Here is a 24328-nt window from a genome sequence, read left to right as displayed (position 1 = left end):
AACAATAGAGTGAAGAAACAACCTACAGAATGGGAGAAAATATTTTCAAACTATGTGTCTGACAAAGGGTTAATATTCTGAATATATAAGGAACTCAACTCAATAGCAAAAAATCAAATAAACTAATTTAAAAATGGACAAAAGGACTGAACAGACATTTCTCAAAAGAAGACATATATATGGCCAACAGATGTATGAAAAACTGCTCAACAACATGAACATCAGAGAAATGCAAATTAAAACCATGACAAAATACCACCTTATCCCAGTGAGAATGGTAAATGTCAAAAAGACAAAAAATAACAATTGCTAGCAAGGATGTAGAGAAACGAATACTCATATACATTGTTGGTGGGAATGTAAATTAGTACAGCTATTATGGAAAACAATGTGGACGTTCCCCAAAATATTAAAAATAAAATGTCCCTGTGATCCACAAATCCAATTATTGGTTATATGTTTTCAAAGAAAATGAAACTAGTATGTTGAGGAGACATCTGAACATCCATGTTTATTGCAGTGTTATTCCCTGTACATTAATTTATGCCAGAAGTTACATACCAGTGACATCCAGTTCACAGGTATGTTTTATAGGAAATGTGGTGTCAATAAAAATAGTCACAATCCTTTAAAAATTATTATTTCCCATAAAAATTCAGAGATGTGACTTCTTTTGGAATAACCAAAGATTTGGCAACTTGGTCACAATTAGCTAGTTAGTAGCTGTTGTTCTCCCCACCCCATGTAACAAGGCCTGATATGCTCAGTTCACAAGAATCCTCATCCCGCCTCCTGACTCATGTGTTTTACTTTTCTCACCCTAAAGTCATCTGAGTTTATGACTTCTGGTTTAAACAATCTACAGTGTCTCAGTTCATTTTGCTATAGAGATTTTTTTTTCACCCTAAAGTCATCTGAGTTTATGACTTCTGGTTTAAACAATCTACAGTGTCTCAGTTCATTTTGCTATAGAGATTTTTTTTTCACCCTAAAGTCATCTGAGTTTATGACTTCTGGTTTAAACGATCTACAGGGTCTCAGCTCATTTTGCTATAGCGATTTTTTTCAGTTATTGTTATTATTTTATTTTAACTTTTATTTCAGGTTCGGGGTACATGTGAAAGTTTGTTGTATAGGTAAACTAGTGTCATGGAGGTTTGCTGTACAGATTATTTCATCACCAAAGTATTAAACCTAGTATCCAATAGTTCTTTTTTCTTCTAAAAATAATGTATTTAATAGAACACATTCAAAAAGATGAAAATAGAAGTATATTCTCTAAATAATTATTAGCATAGATGAAAAAATAAACTCAGACTTTCAGAATACAGACTTGCAAGAAATGGAAGCAGTCTTGGCCAAAGCTACTCTTTGCCTACCTCTGAGGACAAGGAATAGACAAATTGGCATTACCTCCCTTCTCTGGTAGTGAAAACCTTTGCAAACGTCCAATATCATTAGTTTTTATGTTCTGTATTTTGCTATAAGCTAGTCCTTAGAGGAAACAGCATTATCAATGCAAGGACAGTGAGATGTTAAAGTAAAGTAGGAATTTATCTATAAATGCCCAAGAAAGGTTAGAGTGGCATTATGGGAAGATCGTGAGGCTGGAAGTAAAGATTCTTTTGTTTGACGTCGGCTCTAGGTCATTTTAGTCATGTGACCTGAAGGAAGCCATTTTACCCTCTTGGTCTCAACGTAAATTGGGATGGGGATTATTTGCTTAGACTGTGTCTGAGATCAAATTAAGGGCTGACATTCAATGATAATATTTTAGATCAAGGACCCACTTCTCTTGTGCATCTCCTATCTCTTAAGGAATACTGGCTGCATGAGTTATACAATAGCACATGAAACATGGAAGTGCATTTATACAAAGTATAGCAGTCACATAGTGCCCCTGTAGTGCTGTGGAAAAAATCATCTTAACTGTAATAGCTTACAATAAGTATTTTATTCTCACATTACAGTTTTCTGTGGTTTGGCTGATCTAGAATGGGATTGGCTGAGTAGTTTTACTTCATGCTACAGGTTGGCTCAGCTTAGGTTCCAGGCTGAGTTTGGTTTTTGTCTGTTCCACACATATTTTTTTCTGTAGCCCAGGCTAAAGTGGTAGCAGCTACCTACCCAAGACGTGCTCTTATCATGGCTTAATACTGGAGCTTAAAATCCAAGCCAAGCCATGCAAAAACAATAAGGCTTTTATTGCATCATGTTTACTAATGTATTGGCCAAAGCAAATCACATGGCCAAGCACAACACTGTTTATAGGGAGGGTGAAGGAAGAGAATATTTGCTGAACAGTAATCTAAACTACATACCAAGAAAGGTCCGCCATCTACAGATATTTTTATTAAAAAGTGTATTTTCACAAGTTAGTATAATTTAAACAATTGGCTCAGGAACCATTTTAAAGGGTTGATTTTTTAAGATTAATATCTGTAATACACGTGGGGAGTCTTGTTCTAAAATGTTGAGAAAAAAACTTTTAATAATCTCATTTGTGCGTGGAAAAATGAACCACCCTCCCCCTAGAGTACTGGAGGATTAGAGTGGGCGTGCTTTTGGATATTTTCTTAAGAATGGCTAGGTAAGCATTGCTGGGGGCTGAATCTGACACAAATGGCAATGTTCAAGGTGATGACAACAGAAGGAAGGCTTATCTTTTTCAAAATTGGATCAGCTCAGACTCAACTATAATACAAACATATGAAGCCCTGAGTATAGGTAACAGAATTTAGTTATGTTATCCTTAGATTTTTGGACACATTCCAGATTGTAGTTTCCTGCTTGCATTAATCAGAATTCTTTCTTTTGGTTATAAGGGATAGAACTACAACTCTAACTGGCTTTAGCAATGAAGAAAATTTCTGGTTTCACATCTTTCAAGGGTCCAGAGGTGGCTACAGATTCAGGTATGGCTGGATGCAGAGCTTTCACCATCTTCACTTGTACAGTCCATTACCCTCTTTGATGGCTTAACCCCAAAGGAAAGTTTCTTTTCCCCTGTAATGTTTATAAAATTTTGGAATAGCAGTTCATTAATTTGGCTTGTAGCATGTGACCAATTCTTTCCCAATTGGGTTCAAGTATTGAAATCAGCTACCTGGCCAGGCCTGTGTGTTGTGCCTTCTGGAGCTGACATGGGATGTTAGACTAAGCTAAACCACGTGGACTAAGAAAGGAGAAGTTTTTATTATACAGAGGAAAATATGGGGGCTCTTTTCCAGAGAAAGGTGCGAGGATGTTGGACAGATAAAAACAACAGATGTCTATTACAATATCTGTTCATCAAAATGAACAATGCGTTAGGGTGAGGGACAATTTATGAAGCAGGAGTATATTGAAAGGTGTTAACTAGAAAGCTAAAATGTTGTAAACGGTACGGTGCTATACTAACGTATCCTCTAAGTGCCAGGTGGAGAGAGTGACATTTGATGAATTGGTTATTTATTTGTAGATGTTAAGAAGGACGTTTCATCCATTTGGGCCCAACAGCAATGTTAACTATTAGCCAATAGCATCAACATGTCACTAATTTGTATCTGGTGACTTGTTGATGATGGGTTGACTCAGCTTACTAGAGTATGGGGGTGACATAGCCAAATAATGGGTTCAGCCTTCATGAGGGAAGTCAGTCATTTTACCATGTAGCTGTATATAAATGCCAGGATTAAAATGGTGATTAAAAGTAAATATTTAAAAAGATTCATATCTGTGCCAGAATGTGTCTTCATATCTTTTTTCTACTGTCAGGGAAAGGAGGGCCCTTGTTCTTAATTCCATGAGATGGCAAAATCGTCTAAACTTTCATCATTGCCTACAGTACTTTATGTATAATTACATTGTTTCTTCAAGGTGCCCTTATTATTTCTCCTCTCATTTTTCCCAGGAGACTTGCACCAGGAGGAACTGGCAAATTTCCTTGGCAAGAACAGATGAATAAATAAGAAGCATGAGCTTGCGACTTTTAGCTGGGGTGATTCGTCAAAAACCACAGCACTGTGGCTGTTTTCAGATTTTAAGGGTTATGTTCAACCTCAATCAAGGGGAGTTTTGAAAGCTGTTATAAATCATCAAATAAATTGAGGAAAAAAATTTGGTAGAACATGATGTTACTTTTTCACGTATGGCTGAATATATTCACCTGAAGGTTTTTCCAAGCTATGCTAGTGTTAGGCAATGACGATTACCTATTCATGTTTGTCTAATGTTTTGAGTGGTGAGTGGCATTGAGTGAGGAATCTCATGATGAATAATTGGCTTTAATCCTCAAGAGAGGACAAAGTATCTGAGCAAGATACCCCTGAAGATCAGTCACTTGCTATAAGTACCAAGTGGTCAATATGGATAAATTGGGTTCTACAATATAGATCATATTGGGTTTATAATGCCTCTGCAATTTTTTCAACATTATTTTGTAGATCCAACAATGCATACTATATGTGTCTGGTTATTTCTGTTTTCCCTTCAGATCTCCTCTCCATGGTTCTCCACTGTGTGCTGTGCCTGGAGATTGGCTTTTATGGACCACATCAATGAGATTCATTGCTTTATGGCCTCCCACTGGATTCAGCCAACAGGAAGTGCATTTAAAAACTTGGAGAGTTGGGTGGGAGAGTCATCTCAGGATTTTCATTTTCCAGGCTCCCTTCCTGCTGGCTCATTACATACTAACTTCATTCCTGTCCCAAATGCTGTAGCTCCCATCAGGGAGCCCTCTCCAGATTCCATTAACCTTGCCATTCCCTTGTCTCTTTAGGCCTAGCAGGATAATGACTCCAATCTGTTGCTAGTCCCATGGACTTCACTATGCTTCATTTGCTTTATTCTTCCATACATTTGTAAGTAGTCCCTCAACAGACTCTCCTCAATTACTCCATCTGTGTAAACCAACTCTTTCATACTGACATCCTGACTGACATATCACCTATGTAAAATATGACACATGCTATACAAGGGATACATTTACATTCAAATTATGACATATTTAAGTATAGCATTTGTAATGAATATAACAAAAACAGCCTTCTGAGAGGCTGGCTGGGTGAACACAGTAGCCAACATTAACAAAACAAAACAAAACAGAAGAACACAACTTAGAAGAACAAAAATGTGACATATATTTGGGCAAAAGAAATAATACAAAGGAAAGTCATATTAAGAGGCAAGGAAAAAATTGCAAAATCCATTAGCAATTTTGGGAAAAGTCCTCAGGGCCAAACAACTAGAATTCAAATTGTGAACAACCAGGAAATCCTAATATCTAAGGGCTAGGAAATTACAAAAAAGGAAAAGGTGGAAGAGGAGGAGGAGGAGAACAAGGAGGAGGAGGAAGAGGAGAAGGACTTACTGAAGGAGAAAAATATGAAGGCTTAGGAAGGCAGGATAGAAGTTATAGGACCCTTCTCCATGGCAGCACTCAGAACCACCATCTGGTACAGTAGTATGGAGGATCTGTCCATGGTTTTGGCCAATTCACAGAGATGAACCTTCCTGCCTCTGCAGACCAGGTGGGCTGAAAGAATTCTTAGTGCCTAACTGATGTGTTTTCAGACTTCCCAGGATATTACTTTGTAGTAAAGACATCTTTCAGAAGAGCAAATTGTACCTGGCTAAAAGAAGAAGGAGAGGTAGATCTCATTTGTCTCCCAGCTATTACGTGTTTGTACATGATTGATACTAACATTACTACCACCAGCAATTGATCTGAGAATATTGCTATGCTAAAAACAATTTACCATGAAGACAGGCACAAATGTGATGACTCTGAGAAGCAATTTCAAAATAAGAGGCCAGGATGAAAATAAATCTGAAGTTCACAAGATGGAAATACTCCAAATGTCTGTGCATAAATTTTGGGCTAAGTTTCTTCTAATTCTTTTATTACTTTATCCTGGGCAAAAGGTGATTATTTTATGTAATGATATGTTCCAAGTATGAGAAAAAATTATTAAAATGAATAGGATGAGAATAAATTAGCTGATACAACAAAGAATTTTTTTTTACGTGTGGAAGAAATCACAACTTAAAAATAAGGTTTTACTCTGTGATTATAAGAACACTAACCAAAGAAATAGGTCTTTAAAAATGTCTTATTTTTTATTTTCATGGATTCAGGGGTACATGTGCAAGTTCGTTACATGAATGTATTGAATAGTGGTGGAATTTGGGCTGTTTTTTTCTTTAAGCTATCTTCAATCCAATCATTCTTAACAGAAATAAATATGTAGTTTCTCATAAAATTATTAAATGTATAATCAATAAGAAAAATCTATCCATCTGGCAGTTTCACAGCTTTGATATTAAATAACTTAAATTTAAAGTGTAAGATTTAATACTAATGGGAGCATTGCAGTGGTTTTTGAAATCTTTTCCCTGCATTGGAATGAATGGTGTAAAGATAGGAAAGGGAAACTGCAATAAATTGCCAACATTGAGGAGAATGGTAATCTAATGAGACCACCAAGCAGAGGCAGGAAGTGTCTTTCCAGCTTCACAATCAAGTTATTAAAAAGCACAGTACAGACTTACAATCACATTTCCAACAATCATCACTTGGAAATGCAAGCACTTGAAATTCACCTTGTGTTCTACCTCTTGTTTTTCATATTCTGATTTTGGAAAAGTCTCTGGGTTCGATGACAAGAATATTAAAGGATCTTGGGACACAGATTGTCGCCCTTATCAAAATGGTGATAGATGAACTGCAAAACCTTTTGGTACCCAGATTTTTATCAAAAATAATACATGAGCTATCTGGTCCACAGGGTTATTTTGGGTTTTAAATAAGCATGCATGAATATATGTATAAATAAAAAGGACCCAGAGATCAGAAGATTTTATTAAAGTCCTTGGGACCCGAATTGAGTTGTTCCAAACCCTAACTGGGCTTGGCCTGGAGAAATCTTAATCCTCCCCATGGCATCTGAAAGTTTCTGGAGATTACTCAGTTTTACTTGCCTTTATTGCTGGGCTTTCTGTGTGCTGATTGGCTAGTCTGGAAAGAATTTCATTAACTGAGACGTGGAACTCAAGGCCCCCTCAAATTTCCAGTCCCAAACCTACATATCAAACCCATAAAGATACTCAGGAGTACTTTTGCTCTGGAGTTAGTAGGAGGCACTCTTTAGGGAAAGCAGGTGAGTTAGTTATAGAAAGTAAAAATACTTTTCCAGTTACATTGGTTTTAATGAGCATCAATAAATAGACCACACAACAATGTAACTATGGAAATTTCCTTAAAGTGGTCCCAAAATAAATACTTGTAATACACAGGCCACATTCAAATAATGTGGTATAAATATTAATTGGTATAGTTTAGTGAAATGTTAGAGGGAAAAAACATGGAAGACTAGAGATAGAATTATTCCGTCTCTGTGATGGTTTGTTCATATAGTAGAGGTGAACTAGAACAAACCTGTGATGTAGCCATCCTTAAATATTCATCAGATATTTTAAAGCAAAAGTAGGTTCAAAGCACCTGGCACAGGCTTTGGACTTAACATATATGTTGCTTTTAGCCAACAGATGCCCCTCCCCTACCAGAAGTTTGACTTATTAGATACTTCTTTACTCATAAACAAAATAAAGCAAAATGCATCTGACAGATTTTATTTTGAAAATTGGTCTGTCTTTAGGAGTTCTTGGAATCTTTGCTAAGGGTCTATTTTGATGATTTTGGTCATCATTTTTGGATAATGGTGCTATGGAGGATGCAAAACAAAAACTGTGACTCTTTTAACCTGCTTCAGACCAGATCATTGGTAGTTTGAACCCATTAGTAGAAAAAGAGGCTATATTTTCACAATCAGGAAAAAATTCTAGGCTGAGCGTAGTGGCTCATGGCTGTAATCCTAGTACTTTGGGAGGCCAAAGTGGGCAGATCATGAGGTCAGGAGTTCGAGACCAGCCTGACCAACATGGTGAAACCCTGTCTCTACTAAAAATACAAAAATTAGCTGGGCGTGGTGGCACACGCCTATAATCCCAGCTACTCAGGAGGCTGAGGCAGGAGAATCGTTTGAACATGGGAGGCGGAGGTTGCAGTGAGCCAGGATTGTGCCATTACACTTCAGCCTGGGTGACAAAGCAAGACTCCATCTCAAAAAAAAAAAAAAAAAAAAAAAAATTCTACCTGTTCACCAGAGCCTAATACTTGAACAGACCTTAAGGTACAAAATTTTAGTTAGATAGGAGGAATAAGTTCAGGAGATCTATTGTACAATATGGTGACTATAATTAATCATGTTGTATCCTTCTTTTAAACTTTTAAGTTCAGGGGTACATGTGCAGGTTTGTTATATAGGCAAACTCCTGTCATGGGGGTTCGTTGTACAAATTATTTGATCACCTAGGTATTAAGCCTAATACTCATTAGTTATGTTTCCTGATCCTCTCCCTCCTCTCACCCTCCAACCTCCAGTGGGTCCCAGTGTGTGTAGTTCCCCTCTGTGTCATGTGTTCTCTTTAGCTCCCACTTGTAAGTGAGAACATGTGACATTTGGATTTCTGTTCCGGCATTAGTTTGCTAAAGATAATGGCCTCCAGCTCCCTCCAGCAGCTCCATCCATGTTCCTGCAAAGGACATAATCTTTTTTGTTGTTGTTGTTGTTGTTGATTTTGTGGTTTTATTTTTGGCTGCTTGTATTCCTTGGTGTATATATGCCACATTTTCTTTGTCCTGTCTATCATTGATGGGCATTTAGGTTGAGTCCATGTTTTTGCTACGGTGAATAGTGCTGCAATTAACATACACACGTATGTGTCTTCATAATAGAATGATTTATATTCCTTTGGGTATATATCCAGTAATGAGATTACTGGGTCCAATGGTAGTTCTGTTTTTAGGTCTTTGAGGAATTGCCACACTGTCTTCCATAATGGTTCAACTGATTTATACTCCAACCAACAGTGTATAAGTGTTCCTTTTTTTCCACAACCTCACCAGCATCTGTTATTTAAAAATTTGTAGTCATAGTCATTCTGACTGGTATGAGATCGTACCTCTTTGTGGTTTTACTTGCGTTTCTCTAACAATCAATGATATTGAGCTTTTTTATATGCTCATTGGCTGCATATATGTTTTGTTTTGAAAAGTATCTGTTCATGTCCTTTGTGAAAATTGTTAAATGAGTAGATTTTAAGCACTCTCAACACATGCAAAAATGGTAATTATGTGAGGTAATGCATCTGTTAAGTAGCTAGATTTAATTATTCTACATTACACACATATTTCAAAAATGATATAAAATATATACAATTGTACTTTGTCAATTAAAGTTTCAATTTGTCTATTAAAATAATAAATAAATAAACATTTGAAAAACAAAGACCTCAATTACCCAACAGCATTAGGAACAATATATTAACAAAGATGTCTTTAAGTGGCTAGATCAATAGGTATATAAGGTCCTGGCCAAAAGACCAACTCTCAGGACTGGGTTTATGGTTTATGTGACTTTGAAGGAGGAGCACTTCAAGTGTTTAGCCTCACAGGCAAACTGACATGAATTCTGAAACTCAGGATGTTATTTGCAAAGTGTGTGGGAGCTCTAAGCAAATTACTCATCTTACTATTATGCAACCCTGGAAGGGTGAGGAAGTGGGGAGGGTGATGCCACCTGCATTAGCTGAGAGCTACTGCTGATGGCTGGAGCCAGAGCAGCAATCTTGAGCCATGAGATCATCTCTGGAATGGAGTTAATATGCAACTTGCACATTATAGCTACACACCAGGTAAAAGCCAGTACTCATGATATAGTTGGGCAAATTGCGAATACCTTTAAGAGTTAAAATTTGCATAATGCCTCTCCTTCATGCTGAGCACTTCGCTCTGTTGCTTTTCTAAACATCAGTGTGGGAGGAGACAAGGAAAATGAGGGTGAGTGTGATAGAGTCAGTCAGGTCAGAGTTCAAAACCTAGATTGGTCCTTGTTAGCAATCTAGGTGTGACTTAGAGCAAGATTTTAAACTTATGGTGACTCCATATAGTCTTTTGTGAACCCTTTTAGTATTGTGGGAATTAAATAGGATAAAACATACACAGTGCCTTGTATAGAGTGAATCCTCAGTAAAATTATCATATTATTATAAGCATAATCATATTACTGACTAGAAGACCAAGTTTTTCAGCCCCACCTAGTATTATCACCCTCTCATTAGAAGCCTCATTTTGGGCTGGGTTGCCATTGTGTTAGTCACTTTTATTCAAGTATATCTTTTGACTTGGCTAGATCCAGACAGGCCATGGAAGGTGAATCAGTTTCAATGCAGTCCAGAGGTTTTGGTTAGGTCAAGCATTAAAGCACGCAGTTATCTGGGTCTTCTTTGCCACGTCCTGGAATTTTACCTGAAAACCAGGATGATATATGGCCACAGAATGATTTAACTGCTGGCCATTGAAATGAGGGAAGAAATGCCACGAGCAGCTTACAAAAACAATCCTATGAGAAGGGAGGAAGTCACCCTTAGCTTATTTCTCCATTTTTTCTCTTTCTCCTTTTCGCTGGCTGGAATGCAGTTCTGCATGGTTTTTGTTCAGGAAACACTTGGCTCACCTGTTACTAAGTTTGCCAGAATCCTTTTCTTTGTGTGTTTCTAGACTGCAGTTGGCCAAAGAGAACTTTGTGGTGGTTTGAAGAAGCAATGCGAGGACACAGTTACAATGTCTGAAGGTCATGGTTGTCGTTTGCAGAGAGAGACAGGTGCACAGGTGGGTTCTGTTTTACCACTGCCTCTCCCAACCTCATGTCCAACTCTCCCTATTAACTCCTAGCCCTGTTGACCAAGAGCAACTCCAGGCTGACCACTGGATTCTTGGCTGCAAACTCACAAAGGCACTATGTGTGAAGTGGCAAGAACTTCCATAAACTCCTCCACCAGCTCGGCTAGGGGCCCACTCTGGTTGTTAGGCATGCTTGGCTTCTAAGTTCTCCTGGGACCTCTGATGTGTCCATTGGTGTCAGTGCTCCAGGAGGCCTGGCTGATGACCTTCCCCTGATTCTCCAACTCCCATTTTTGGACCCTTATTCTCTAGCACCTTCCACAATTGTGTAAAGTTGAATTCCTATAAAAAATTTCTTATTCCATAGCACTCAGAGTGGTTATGCTTTCCTGATTCTGCACTTGTATTATGTTTAATTACTGTCAGGCATCATTCTGAGACCATATCAGCTTAATCCCCTCCAGAATCACTTGAACTGAAATGGATTTTGATGTTAACCTCTCAGTTGTTATCCAAGTTCCTTTTTAAAGCATCCAAGTAAAAATCTGGCCTGCATTTTTTAAATGAAACTGATGTCAGAAGACCTATCTATCATGGCACTCAATGTTACCCTTATAAGGTTTTACATGAGAAATATCTCGTTACCTGTTGTCAGTTTAGACTTTATTTCTTTTGAAGCATTGGTATGCTTCTTCCTTTTGGGGAAACTCTTTTATTTCCATTTTTGCCCTCACTTCCAGGAGGCTCAGAGTCATGAATATTGCCTAATTATAGGAACTAGCTCAGCTCTCAAAGTATTTGGTTATTCCTCTCTTTCGTGCATTTAATTAATTCTATTTTACTTATCTGAATTGTGCTTGTCTTCTTTTTTTAAAATTAGGGGAAAGTGCAAATGCAGTCCCCATGACAACAAATGATGCAGTCGAGTTTCCCATATTTGGGGAAATTGCAGGAGTTTGTACATCCAGAGTGCAATGGATAAGGCTTACCCTGGGAAAACCACCTTTGTGATGATGGTATTTGCCCTGCCAGGTAAGTATCACGCTTGTTTTTTATTGTAACTTGTGCCAAATTAGAAATGGTTGGGTCACAGTAAGGGACTAGAGCCATCTGAGCTAGACACGCTACCTACATTTTCTATTTTTTAAAATTTTATTTTACGTATGAGCAAACTGAGGTTCAGTGATATTGTGGGATGCTAAGTGGTCAGTGACAGGACCTGCAGGTGGATGCATTTGACCTTTGACTCGTGCTTTCTCCATGGGTCAGGCTGTCTCCCTGGTTGAAAGAATCAGGTATAAACACATAGACAGTGAAATAAGCATCGCTGTCCCTCTTAACCTGATTTGAGAATGTAGATCTCAACATGGGTCCCTTTCTTGTCTATCAAAGAAGTTTGTGACTGTAAGTGAGACATGAAGCAAATGTGTTATGAAATGGAATTGGTGGTGAAGATAATGAAAATGAGGTGGTGATGGAGATGATAGTAATGCATCATTCTTGTGCAAAGGAAGATTGTGATGATTTTCAGTCACTGTCCTCTACTCTCTCATCGTGCATTATGTTTTCAAGAGATCCAGCACGTAACAACTTATAATGTAAATTGAAGGTTTTATTACTGGATGAAATGTATTCCCTGACTTCAATAATCATGTAAAATAGCTGAAGTGATCCACTGAGTACTCACTATATATCAGGCACTGTTTTAGTTCCTTACACATGTTAACTCCTTTAATACTTGAAATGAGGCTTTGAAGTAGATACTTTTCTTATCCCCATTTTACATATGCTAAAATTAAGGCACAAAGAGATTAGGTTGTTTTCCTGAGCAAGATCACTGAGCTACTAAGTTGTGAACCCAGAATTCAAATGCATGGAGTCTGCCACACCGAACACTCCCTTGAGCCCGCGCTCTTGACCATGATATTGTGCCCCTATTAGTCCTATCTCCACAATCAGGAGAAAGAGCGTGTGCTTCTTAAACACACTTGGATTCAAATCTGGATTCCATAACTTCCCAGTTATATGCCCTTGAGATGGTTACTTAACCTCTTTAAGCATCAGTTTCTCTGAGAGTTCTTTTAAGTCCAAGTGATACAATTCTTTTGAATCAATCATTTACTTATTTTTTGAGTGCCTATGAGCTTAGAATTAAGCTAGGTGCTATTAAATTAAAACACCTATGGGCAGAGAATTATACCACCATTCAAAGGTTTTGCTCGCAGACACAAGCATAAAGATGCTAAAAAAGACTTGCTTAATTGGAATAAATTTTCCTGCAGATGGCCCTCAAGCATTCCAGCTTCCCTTAAGAAGACAAGAAAGGCTGTTATTGGAGAAACTCATCTTTTTTGCTTTTCACTTTCTCCCTGTGTCCTATTGTATCCTTTTTTAATGGAATTTTCTTTATTATATTTCTTTGGTAAAGGCAACTCCTTTGAAAATCTACCATCCATAGTTACCTTTGCAAATCACGAGTGTACCACAGGACCCTCCCTGAAACCTAGACACTGAATATTCAGTGGCCTAGTGGGTTACTAATGCATGGCAGGGCAGGAAAGTTGCTTTTTCATATCACTACATTGGTACCACTGGGAAAAGAGCATTCTGATGATACCGATGGGCTGGACGAGGTCCCCGAATGTCAGTGCAACCTCAACCTTAGCTGGTGTCCAGGCTCTTAGGTGAGAAGGAATTCAAGATACGCCTGAAAATAGTGAAAGAACTGAGATTTATAGCAAAGTAAAAGTACACACTCAGTAAAGGGTAGCATGCACTTGAATATCAAGAGAGTGAGTCACGCTGCAGGTTTTCGGGCTTGTATCTTTACCGCACTGGTGGGTATGTGATTCAATATGTTCACAAGCATATAATGAGGTCCTATATCAAATCCAGTGCCATGGTGCATCCAGTTTGTCTTAGCCGGTTTGGCCTACACCCTGGTTTTTCAGGGTCTTATCAGTCCCTAGCTTCTGAACCTATTTCAATAGTTTCCTTTTGCTAGTCATGTGAAACTGCTGCCTGGAGTTTTCTATTCTCCTGCATCCACCCTGCATTATTCCTGTCTCGTTGGCTGTGAGTTGGTTGCCTGTGTTAGCATGGAAGACAGGAGAAGCTACGTGTTGGCTCTGGGTAAGGGGAAGGCAACAGTTCCAACAAACAGATTGTGACTGTTCTTTTTTCTGTCGTCCTTGAGTTTGATGGTAATAAAGCACATGACATGCATCACCCACTCGGATCACAGTCTCAGGTTGCTAAACAATCTTTGGGATTTATAAAGGCAACACACACATCTAATGAAGAGAAGCCACAGAACAAAGAACACAATTCTTTCTGGTGACAGAATTCTGTCTCAATCTGTATAATCACCAAAGCTTTTCAGATCAAGGGAGGGAAAATGAAAAAGAAAGGCTTAAACAAATATGCAATCTGAGGCTTCTGGGTTCATGATCAGTGGACACAAACTGAACAGCAGAAAGTTTGCCTTGAGGCTGAGCATCCCTCAGCATGGCTTAAATCAAGGCCGGTTGCTTTTCCTTTAAATAATGAATCATTTTTTCAATACTATGGTTTCCATCCTTCTATTTTTCCAGCAGTGGAAACTCCTCTCCACTATGTGGATGGAATCCTCATAATGGAATCTGAAAATTGAGGAAAGTCAACTTTAACGCCCTTCTTCCCCTTAAAGCTTCTTCTCTCCCATCCACATTGCCCCTGCCTTTGCATGAGGTTTAGCATGGACCACGTGGTGGTCTGTACTGGATTGGCACTTCCACTGGATGCTGTAGGAGGAAAACAGGAGGACCTAGTAATGCCTTCAGAGGAGGTCAAGCCCAAAAGCTGCTGTTAATTGGCAGGTAGAAAAGCAAGTACTTTAATCGAATGTGGGATAGAATTTAAAGGGAGGCAGAGGAGAGAGTGTGGGTTGCCTGGCTTGGAGGAGAGGTAAAGGCAAAACCAGTGATTTCTAAATTTTGTAATTGCTCAACAAATGATTGTAGAATTGGATTGAGACCCTAAACTTCACTTTTCTCATTAGAATACAAAAGCTACTAACTAGGGGGCATAAGGGACTTACGGTTTACTTTTCATAGTGACAGAGGGACCTTCTCTCTAGAACCATTTAGGTCTGCTGGACACCTTCCAATTAGAATTGCTCTCTAATCTCCAGGAAATTGATAGCATGCAAACCATTGTTATCTTGAGTTTTGGTTAAAGATTGGTAACAGAAGCTGCTTTGGAGATGAACATAGAGTAACAACAAAGACATCTTAAGCATCTTTATTATATTATTTTTCTCATTTAATCCTTACAACTGCATGCGTTGGTCATTATTATCTCATTTGTTGGTGAGAAAACAGGCTTTGTGGACTTTAACAGCAACAGACTATGACTCAAAACAAGGTCTCCAGATCTCCAAACTCTTATATTAGGTTTTGCCTTAAAGCCCCAATTTCCGTAGGGTGTAGTCAGCAATACACTCATGGGAAAAGTGAAGGATGAGGCTCATTACATCCTCTGGATAAATAAACTGACCACAAGTCAGTTTTTCATTAACAAATATTTATTTATGGTTCTGTAGTGTGTCTCTTTCCGCATGGGGAAAGCACTCAGAAGGGCATCAGCCATGGTCTGTCCATACCCCTGGGAGCTCAATATTTAGCTGGGAGGAGAAAGTTTGGATACATGACAAGGTAACCATTGGCTGAAATTTGAAAGTGCTGTAGATTAAATCAGCGCAGAGAAGACATTGCTTTTGCAATCATGAATCATACCTTTGCAAATCACGAATGTATCACAAGACCCTCCCTGAAACCTAGACACTGAATATTCAGTGGCCTAGTGTGTTACTAATGCATGGCAGGGCAGGGAAGGCTTCCTGAGCGAGGGAAACCTTGATAGGAGCCAGGAAGGGAAGAAAGGCCCCAGACGTGAGAAGATTGATGCAGGGAATATCAATGCAGGGCAATAAGATGCCCAAGGAGATGTCTCAGTTAGAACTGAGGTGTCAGTGAATGAAATAGAGGGTCATCAGGCTGGAAATGGATTTTTGGCCAGAATATGAAGGGGCTGTAAATGCCAAGGAGAGAAAGTTGGCCTTTATCCTGTACACTATGTTTTCTTGATCACATTTTCTATCTGTAAAATACTTTGACTTGTGCCTACGGTGTATGTATACGATATATATGTAGTAATACATTATATATATTATGAAACATACCCCAAGATAATAGTTGAAAATAACAAATTAAGATGAAATAGTTTTAAATGTCTTGAAAATCAAGGTGACCAGCACATACTTCAGCTAATGCTCATTGTTATGAAATAAAGGATTTAAATCCATATATCGAATAGTCTTGTATTTGAACTTTTTTCTTTTATAAAAATAATTTTAATGCTATGCTATTGATTTGAAAGTGCAGCACTATTTTTATTCTTTAGGGGCTTTCTCCTAACATGTTAAGACCAACCCAGCTGATTTGTCTCCATCAATGTCTGAAGCTGTCAATAACTGTGTCATTGCTCTGGAGGAAAAAAGAAGAATAGCAATTTCTTGTTTTGTTCCTCACTTCACCTCCAGCCACATTGGGATTATTTGGAATTTTGATCGAATATTCTTAGAGATATACTCATTTATTACCTTTTAATTAGAAATAAACATTGCACAGTCTTTCTTCCCATAGACCGTTGCCTTCTGTCGGATTAATTTCTCTCTTCTGGAGAATGTCTCAGTGCTTTTGTAGCATGCTATTCTCCCTGAGACCTCATGTACCTGAGAATACTGATATTTTGTTTTGCAATTAAATTTTAGTTTTATTGGATATAAGCATCTAGGTTTTAAGTTTCAAAATGATATTCCATCTTCTTACTAGATTTTTAGGCAAAAGTTTTCCTATGATACAAAACTTGGGCTCATATTTACTAAATTACTTGTATTTTAAAAATGGCCTTAGAAAATCAGTTGTTTACCATAATTGAGGGAAGTTACCTACAATATGACTTGCCAAAGTCCTTCAGCATGCTAAGATATTCTTCAACAGCCTAAGATAATTTTCACTTTTCAATATTCTTCCTATTTATACTGTCTTCGAATAAAAAAGACTTAAAATTACATTATCTATGAGAATACTGTTTTCAGTTCTGATATACCTCCATTTTTATTTTAGTGAACAGATCACTAAAATAAAACAAATAGCCCGCAGTGCTTAAGCACAAAGTAGAAACTCCTGAGATTTAATTTACTTACTGATTTTTGCACTCATTACCAAATGTATCTGAAATATCACCGGATATAAAGAACTCAACTAAGTTATTTTTGAAAAATGTGTTATGATTTTAGTACTGTTTCTGTTACAAGTAGCTTCATAAATATCTGTTAGCCCAATTATGTATCTGTGCATTTGTAAATTACAGTGGAATTTGTTAATTGATGTAGCTTGTGATGTTAAAGAATTTTTTTTTTAATTTTGGGATATGGGAAAATAACACAATTGTAAATGTTACCCTATTTATCTCTTTGTTTGTAAGAAGTAACATATCTGATCCCCAAATACAAGAAATGATAGATCTTGATTTACATAGTAACATCTCACCCTTAATGTCTTAGTTGAAACAGTTTTTGTTCTGTTTTGTCTCTTGGCCATTATATCCTGTCTAATGCCTAAATACAGCTAGTTGCACAGTGAGATTTACACCATTCATTACTGTTTAGTTGGATATGTCATGAAGGATGCAACTATTTCTTATGTAGCTTTTGAAGTGTAACTCTTACACACACCACCCCCCAAATCCTCAGCTCTGAAACAAACGTTTGTTTTATTTGTAAAAATGTCTTAAATTTTTGCAGGAAAAATGTAGCTTTTTCCCTTTTTTTTTTCTTTTTTTGCTGCTTACAGTAGACATGCTTTATTTTTTAATGGAAACATAGTTCTTAATAAAGTAAGCCAGTTTCGATAAATGTGTGGATGTTTTAGTACAGACTCTTAGAAGCACACCGAAAGAGAAGGATTCACACGTGATTTATGAATGAGTGCTCCCACAAACTCTGATAAGGGAGTGGAGAAAGCAGGACAAGGAAAGGAAAGAAGTAAAGCAATTGTTGTGATTTCAGGAAAAATCCTCACTTCAGCCTGGTCCTGTAGGGCGGCTCTAGAGTGTCCAATTACATCCTAGAATTTTGTTCTGAGGGAGCTGCCATTGGCTAAGGACCAAATCATGGGAGTACAAACCCCAGGTTCCCTGTATAAGCAAAGCAGCTCTCATACCGTTGGAGCAGTCACCGTAAGCGGCACCACTGCAGCTTTTAGAAGTAAAAGGACACAAAAGCTGGGAAGCGGCACACAGAAATGATAAAAACGGGTTCCCGAGGGCTCTGGGCAGAGAGCTCGGACATTGTCCACTTCACCATTCCTCAGTATTCTTATTTCCATCCTCTATGCCTTTGTGTTTCTTCTCAGAATGCACACTGAAGTTCTAATTCCTTCTGAATTTTGGACCTCAGTTCTGGAGGGGATCAGGATGTGAATTCTCTTACGCACTTCTGTAATGAAACTTTTATTTTTATTTCCTGTTCACTGTCTATTATGATAAAGCTGTGGATCAGGTAAATCAGGTATTTTTTAATCTAAAATTCACAAATGAGAAAGACTCTTCACGAGAGGTTGAGTGATTCACTTAGGTTTCTATAGCTTAACTAGTGGCAACTCCAGTCTGATTCCCCTATCATTGTTCATCCCACTGACTGTAGCATTCTCTTCAGAACCTGCAATCAGACGCTGACCTCTCTGTTTCTGATGTAAATTCATTCTTCTATATGACACATACCTCTGAAATCAGTGACCATTTGCTCACTGGTAAGTGGAAACTGTTAAGAGAAACTACAGGTGTCCCTGAAACTGGTAACCTTCCATGGTTTACCCTTTCCTGTTTATTAAACCCTAAAGTGGTTTCTCGTTCTTAGTTAAAGCTCTCACATTAGCAGCCCCAGATGTGTTTCCATGATTTTGAATTGTCAAATTTATAAATTTATAATTTGCATCAATTTTTGGATTTCTGGCATCTCTGCAAAAGTGAGCTCAGCTAGTTACATTGTGTCTTCATTCTCCCCTGCTCCCAGCTTGTAAGAGCTAGGCAGAGGCTATTTCCTTTCCATATGCTTCACAATTTGCCAGTCTCTACTGAGTCCACATTGCTCATTTCTGTTATCTGCTTGGCCTTGCAAGACTTAAACTGATGGAGGAAAGACAAGTAATTTTGAGGGCCTTGCACTTTAGTTAGTACTGTTAATGAACTTAAACTGATGAATAACTTGATGAACTAAGCAAGGATTGGAGAAATCTTTGTTGTCAGTTCATGAAACTGTCCCGAATTCTCCATTATGCAAAGGTGGGCTCCTTGCTTGATGACTACCTTGTATAACTGAATGAGTCTTTTTCTGCCACTCCTTTGGCTTACATATTTCTTAAGCATTTCCTTGCCAATTAGCATCCTCTATGAGAGATGGAAGAGAACCACACAACATAAAAAGTATTTTGTCTAGAAGTAAATCTGAAACTAACTACAGACAGTCCCTGACTTACGATGGTTGAATTTATAATGGTGAGAAAGTGATATGCCTTCAGCAGAAATCATACTTCAAATACTCATTCAACAATTCTGTTTTTACTTTCAGCACAGTGTTCAATAAATTACATGAGATATATGATACTTTATTATAAAACAGGCTTTGTGTTCAATGATTTTGCTCAACCATAGGCTAATGTAAGTGTTCTGAGCATGTTTAAGTCTAGTTAAGCTATGATGTTTGGTAGGTTAGGTGTATTAAACGCATTTTCAACCTGAGATGCATTTATCTGGCTATAACCCCATCATAAGTCATGAAGCATCTATAGTTAAATTAAGTCTTCACTTTGTAACATTTGTTTCTTCCTGTCACTCCTCCATTTTATTAGCACATATTAAGACTTTATTCTCTGAGTATTAACTATTTTTATGAAAACACACACATACACACACACATCAGATTTTTCCATGTCCCATGCTCAATGTGGGTGTAGTCCTTGTATTTTCTCTGTGATGAAACAAGAAGAAACCCTAATTAAATATCTAGAGATCTACTGCATTGCCTTTAAACCTGTGACCATGACTGTCACTAAATTTCCCAAGGTTTTGGTTTCTTATTTGATAAAATAACTAGTGTAGGAAGCTGGGCAAGATTCTTAGTTAAGTTTTTCCTGGATTTAAAAACTATTGCCCAATTCTTCCAGGATCACTTGAAAACTTAGCAATTTATCTATGCATTTTTTTCTATATCTTGTTGTTAAGATGCTCAGATTCCAGGCAGCTAACTCCTACTGAGAGCATCCTTTAGTGTAGCTTGTGGTAGTTTTGACAATAGTCTCAAGGAGGGGCTACAAAGGACTAGAAATTCTATTCCATGACTGTAGTTTTACTAGATACCTTCTTGTGGTTTAGCTTCTTCAACCAAGATTCCATGTTATCGTGGTGTTATCACATGAAGAAGGATTAAAATGTCACTTAAATATATACATCACACTCTAAAATATCAACTTCATCCTCAGGCTCTTCCTAATTCAGGTATGGATCTTGTATATTGTGTCATGGGACATCAACACATTTGCCATGCCAAATTCAGTTCATCAATCTCATCTAACCAGAGCATAAGCAAAAAGAAAAAAGAATAACTTAACTGTAAAAAATAATGAATCTAAAATGATGTTTTAAAAGAGGAAAATAAAATCAATTTGGTGTTGCTTTAATTTTTGATGATTTACAGTAGGAGTTCTAATGCCCAGCAGGTACCATTTGACATTTTCATCTCCAGTGCTGTGAAGAGATTAGCACTTACTGGTATTGATTTAAACTAGGATTTATACCAGGGCTGTCATTTTTATGGAAAGCACAATAAAAGAGATTAGAAAGAAATTGCCAGGTGGCCCAGGTCTAATCAATTGTAGAATGCTTTCATTGGGAACTTGCAATTTTACCAAGCAGAAAGTTAACACACACAGGATAAGCAATAGGAAATGAAATTCACATCAGGCCTTAAGAATTGTGGCAAGGCCAAAACCAAACCATATCACACAGTTGGTAGCATCACTCTACTAACTTTCCATGAAATTTCCAAGGCGAAATATCTGTGAAAGACAGTATTTTAGTGCCCACTGAAATAGAACAAACCCCTGCTGAAGGACCGAAGGGAAACACATGATGTATTTCAAGTCAGAACATGTAAGGCTGCATTTGGTGAGATTTTCTTAAGGCTGCAGTCAAGTTGACTCAACTAGGGTATATAACTTTTATTTGGTTTTGATTGAGAGGGAGGAGTTACTCTATGATTGACTGGAGGTCAAGAAGTCTGATGTCAGAGAACTCAAAGTTCACTGCTCGAATTGAACTCAAAGCCCAGAAGAGATAGACGGTGGAGAGAAAAGTAATGTGAAGAGCATTTATTGCTAAATTCAGAATCAGAGCTCACATAGCAACTGGCAGTTGACACATGAACGGTGAGATAAAAGTATCAAAAGAGATGTCAACAGACATTTTTGACATCCTAGCAAAGATGTAGCAAATCAACCTGAGGTAATCTGCTTTACTTGAAAAAATTAACCAGAAAGAAGATTCTACTTACAATGGCATTAAATTAGTTACAAGTTCAACACATACCCTACGCCAGTTATTGTGCAAAGGGCCCAAGATAGAAAAACTTAAAATCTGGGAATACTTCACATAAGAATGCTCACAACCTACAGGATGAAAGGTTGGAAATGAAGGTGGCTTATTACAGGACACAGTGATAATTGTGATAATAGTTTTATGGCACAGAGGGCAAAGACAGCTCAGAGGAGAAAGCAGTTCAGTCTTTTGGGAAGAGCAGAGAGAATGGGATCAAGGATGGCTTCTAAGGGGAGCTCAAATAAGAGTAGAGTTTTGAAGAATAAGTGGAAAGACAAGGGAGGGAAGAGCATTCCAGGGGGAGGGAACAGAGGTGTGAAGGCACAGAATCATGACTGCATGTAGGACACGAGTTGGGAGAGGGGTCCAGAGTCTGGACTTTATTCCACAGGCGAGGGAAAATTCTGGCTGGTTTTAAGTGTGTGTATGTGTGGTGTGTGCATGGGCCAGGTAGGGAGAGTGACCTGATCAGAATCGTGTCTTAGAATGACCACCTGTTACCATCCTAGTCTTCACTACCTGGACCCATGCAATGCTCTTTTACCTTGTCTTTTTGCTTTCAATCTTGCCTCCAGAGTGTGATGCTCCAAAAATGTCACACTTCTGCTCAAACCTGTCAATGGCTCCTCATGGAACCCAGAGAAGGCCTGTTACATAGAACCACATCTCCTAGTACTCAACAAGGATTCTCTGCTTCCTTTCTGGTCCTCAAACTCATCTGTCTCAGGGCCTTTGTGCACATCATTTTCTCTTCCTAGAATAGTTTTTCTCTGGAAATCTCCATGCTTGTTCCTTCAGCTGACCCAGGTGCTCAGATGTCACCTTTTCCAAGAAGTCTTCTCCAGCTACTCTGCACTCAATATAACAGTGGGGGAAGGAATGAATCAATGGATGAGTAAATAGAGGGGACAGTAAAGGCGGTAAGTGTCCCACAAGAGGTTTGGGAGAGTCTGAGGAGAGCTAATACAAATATGTGGGAATTAAGGTTCTTGGATGGGACTTGGTGGATAGGGCAGAGATGGGTGTGGGGAGTCTGAGGGATTAGAAGGTGCAGAGGGTCACTCCTGGGGTCTGAACTGGAGGACTGGATGATTGCAGGACATATTTTCGGAGGGAAGCAGGAATGGTCAGAGAACAAATAATAAGAACATTATCTAATGTTCCAGGCACTGTGCATTAAGTGTATTTCTCACTTCATTCTGTATGATAGGTACTTACCCTTATCATTATCATCATCACTTTTTTTCCAGGATGAAGAATATGAGGCTCAAGGAGGTTAAGCAACTTGCTGAAGCTCACACATCAGTAAGAGTCAGAGTCTCAACCTAAACCTAGATCTAATGCAGTTTATGTAAACGTAAGTTACTGTGGTTACTGCTATTAGATTTAAGTGTGAAAATCAACTCCAACAATCTATATGGAAGTTTAGGAGATACACGAATCAGATGTAGCTTTGCATTATGAACAGCACTGCAAATGCCCTGCTCCTTCTTTTTAGAGCAAGAAGTTAATTTGTTGTTTAACTTGAATCCTCTATGCAATGGACTTAACCCATTCCCTTTTACCCTAAACCCGTAGAAATCTGAATCCCAACTCCTTCAAGCAGTGCTGGCCAGGCTGCTGCCTGTTTTATATGGTCTGGGCACTCCACAACTAGAGGAAGTTGCCATGATGTGAATGCTCCTGCTGGAGCTGTGCAATATGGCAGCTCCACAATTTTTGTGACACATGTTCTAAAAAATTGTCATTCACTATACTTACCACCTGTTAGGGAAGAAAAGGTAAGTGGAATATTTTCAGAGAAAAAGAGGAGATAGAAAAAGAATGAAAGCCTTGACAACCGTGGAAAAAAGGCTCAATTCTTTGAGAGAGGATGTGGTGAAAATACCCCTGAAAGGCACTAAGACCAGCATGGGCAAGGTAGGTCATTAACACATTGCAAGGTGGGGTGTCTGGGCACAGGTGGGGAAACAAAGAAAGAAAAGCCACAGCTACTTTCATAAATATTTTATTCACAGTAAGAACGTTGACCTTTTCTTTAAGCCAAGTGCTTTAAAAACATACAAATGGGCAGTCAGTTCTTGTAAAATTACCTATCAAATCAAGAGGTCGTTGAAAATATTGCTTAACATCTTTTACTTTTCACTTAGATGAAGAACATAGATCTTGCCTGGTGGACCAAATTTTACAGTACTTCCCCCCTCCTCCCCTCCTGCCCTCCCTCCTTCCCTTCTTCCCTCCTTCCTTCCCTCTTTTCCTCCACTTTAAAAAATAATTGTATAAAGTTTACCTTTTAAACCCCTCTTATTTTGAAATGGAATACAGATACAGAAAGAATGCACAAAATATAAATATACATTTTAACAAATTATTGTAAGCACTGAAGTAACAGCCATGCAGATTAAAACATAGATCATTGCCACTACTCTAAAGCTCACTTCTCCACCTGCCCCTTCCCCAATTACATTCCCTTCTCTCACCTAGATGTGCCATTCTCCTGATATTTATGGTAACCATTTCCTTGTTTTCTTTTATAGTTTCACCACCAAAGAGTGGATCCTCAAACTATAATTTTGTCTGCTTTCAAAACTTATGCCAGTGGAATCATATTAGAGATTTTTCTTTTGATCTTGCTCTTTTTGGCTCAGTGATATGTGTTGAAGGTCCATCCATGTTGTTGTTGTGTGTCACTGCAGTTCATTCATTGTCATTTCTCCATAGCAAGGGCCACACTTTCTCTGTAAAGGACCAGAAAGTAAATGCATATGTCTTTACAGAACATATAAAGTCTATCACATATTTTTCTTTCTTTTTTGTAAAATAAGCCTTGAAAAATGTAAAAAAACACACACACTCTTAGCTTGCTTGACATAAAAAAGAGCAGGCCACAGGCCAGACGTGGCTCAT

General features: G+C 38.2%; 2 long non-coding RNA genes and 1 pseudogene across 2 annotated transcripts in view, besides 1 other annotated feature; 1 reads left to right on the top strand and 2 right to left on the bottom strand.

Annotated features, from left to right (window-relative positions):
• Positions 1-2569: 2569 nt before the first annotated feature.
• Positions 2570-4043, top strand: LOC105372545 (uncharacterized). The gene is made up of 3 exons (XR_937290.2): positions 2570-2727; positions 2826-2915; positions 3893-4043. It is a non-coding gene; the product is annotated as an uncharacterized LOC105372545 (long non-coding RNA).
• On the bottom strand, positions 11606-11766 carry RNU1-131P (RNA, U1 small nuclear 131, pseudogene; annotated as a pseudogene).
• Positions 18238-18739: an enhancer, noted in NCBI's record as "NANOG hESC enhancer chr20:17182732-17183233 (GRCh37/hg19 assembly coordinates)". NCBI's record gives its function as "activates a minimal SCP1, AML or CMV promoter by ChIP-STARR-seq in primed H9 embryonic stem cells {active_cell/tissue: H9 hESC(primed)}" and the evidence as "EXISTENCE:reporter gene assay evidence [ECO:0000049][PMID:30033119]".
• LOC105372544 (uncharacterized) overlaps positions 23888-24328 on the bottom strand; it is a 74761-nt gene continuing 74320 nt past the window's right edge. The window contains exon 4 of the long non-coding RNA XR_937289.1: positions 23888-24159. This is a non-coding gene — a long non-coding RNA (uncharacterized LOC105372544). The remainder of the gene's footprint in view (positions 24160-24328) is intronic.

Source organism: Homo sapiens, chromosome 20, assembly GCF_000001405.40.
Source record: "Homo sapiens chromosome 20, GRCh38.p14 Primary Assembly".
In the NCBI taxonomy this organism is placed as follows: Eukaryota; Metazoa; Chordata; class Mammalia; order Primates; family Hominidae; genus Homo; species Homo sapiens.
The sequence above is the reverse complement of the archived record's forward strand: the minus strand, read 5'-3'. Positions and strand labels throughout refer to the sequence as shown.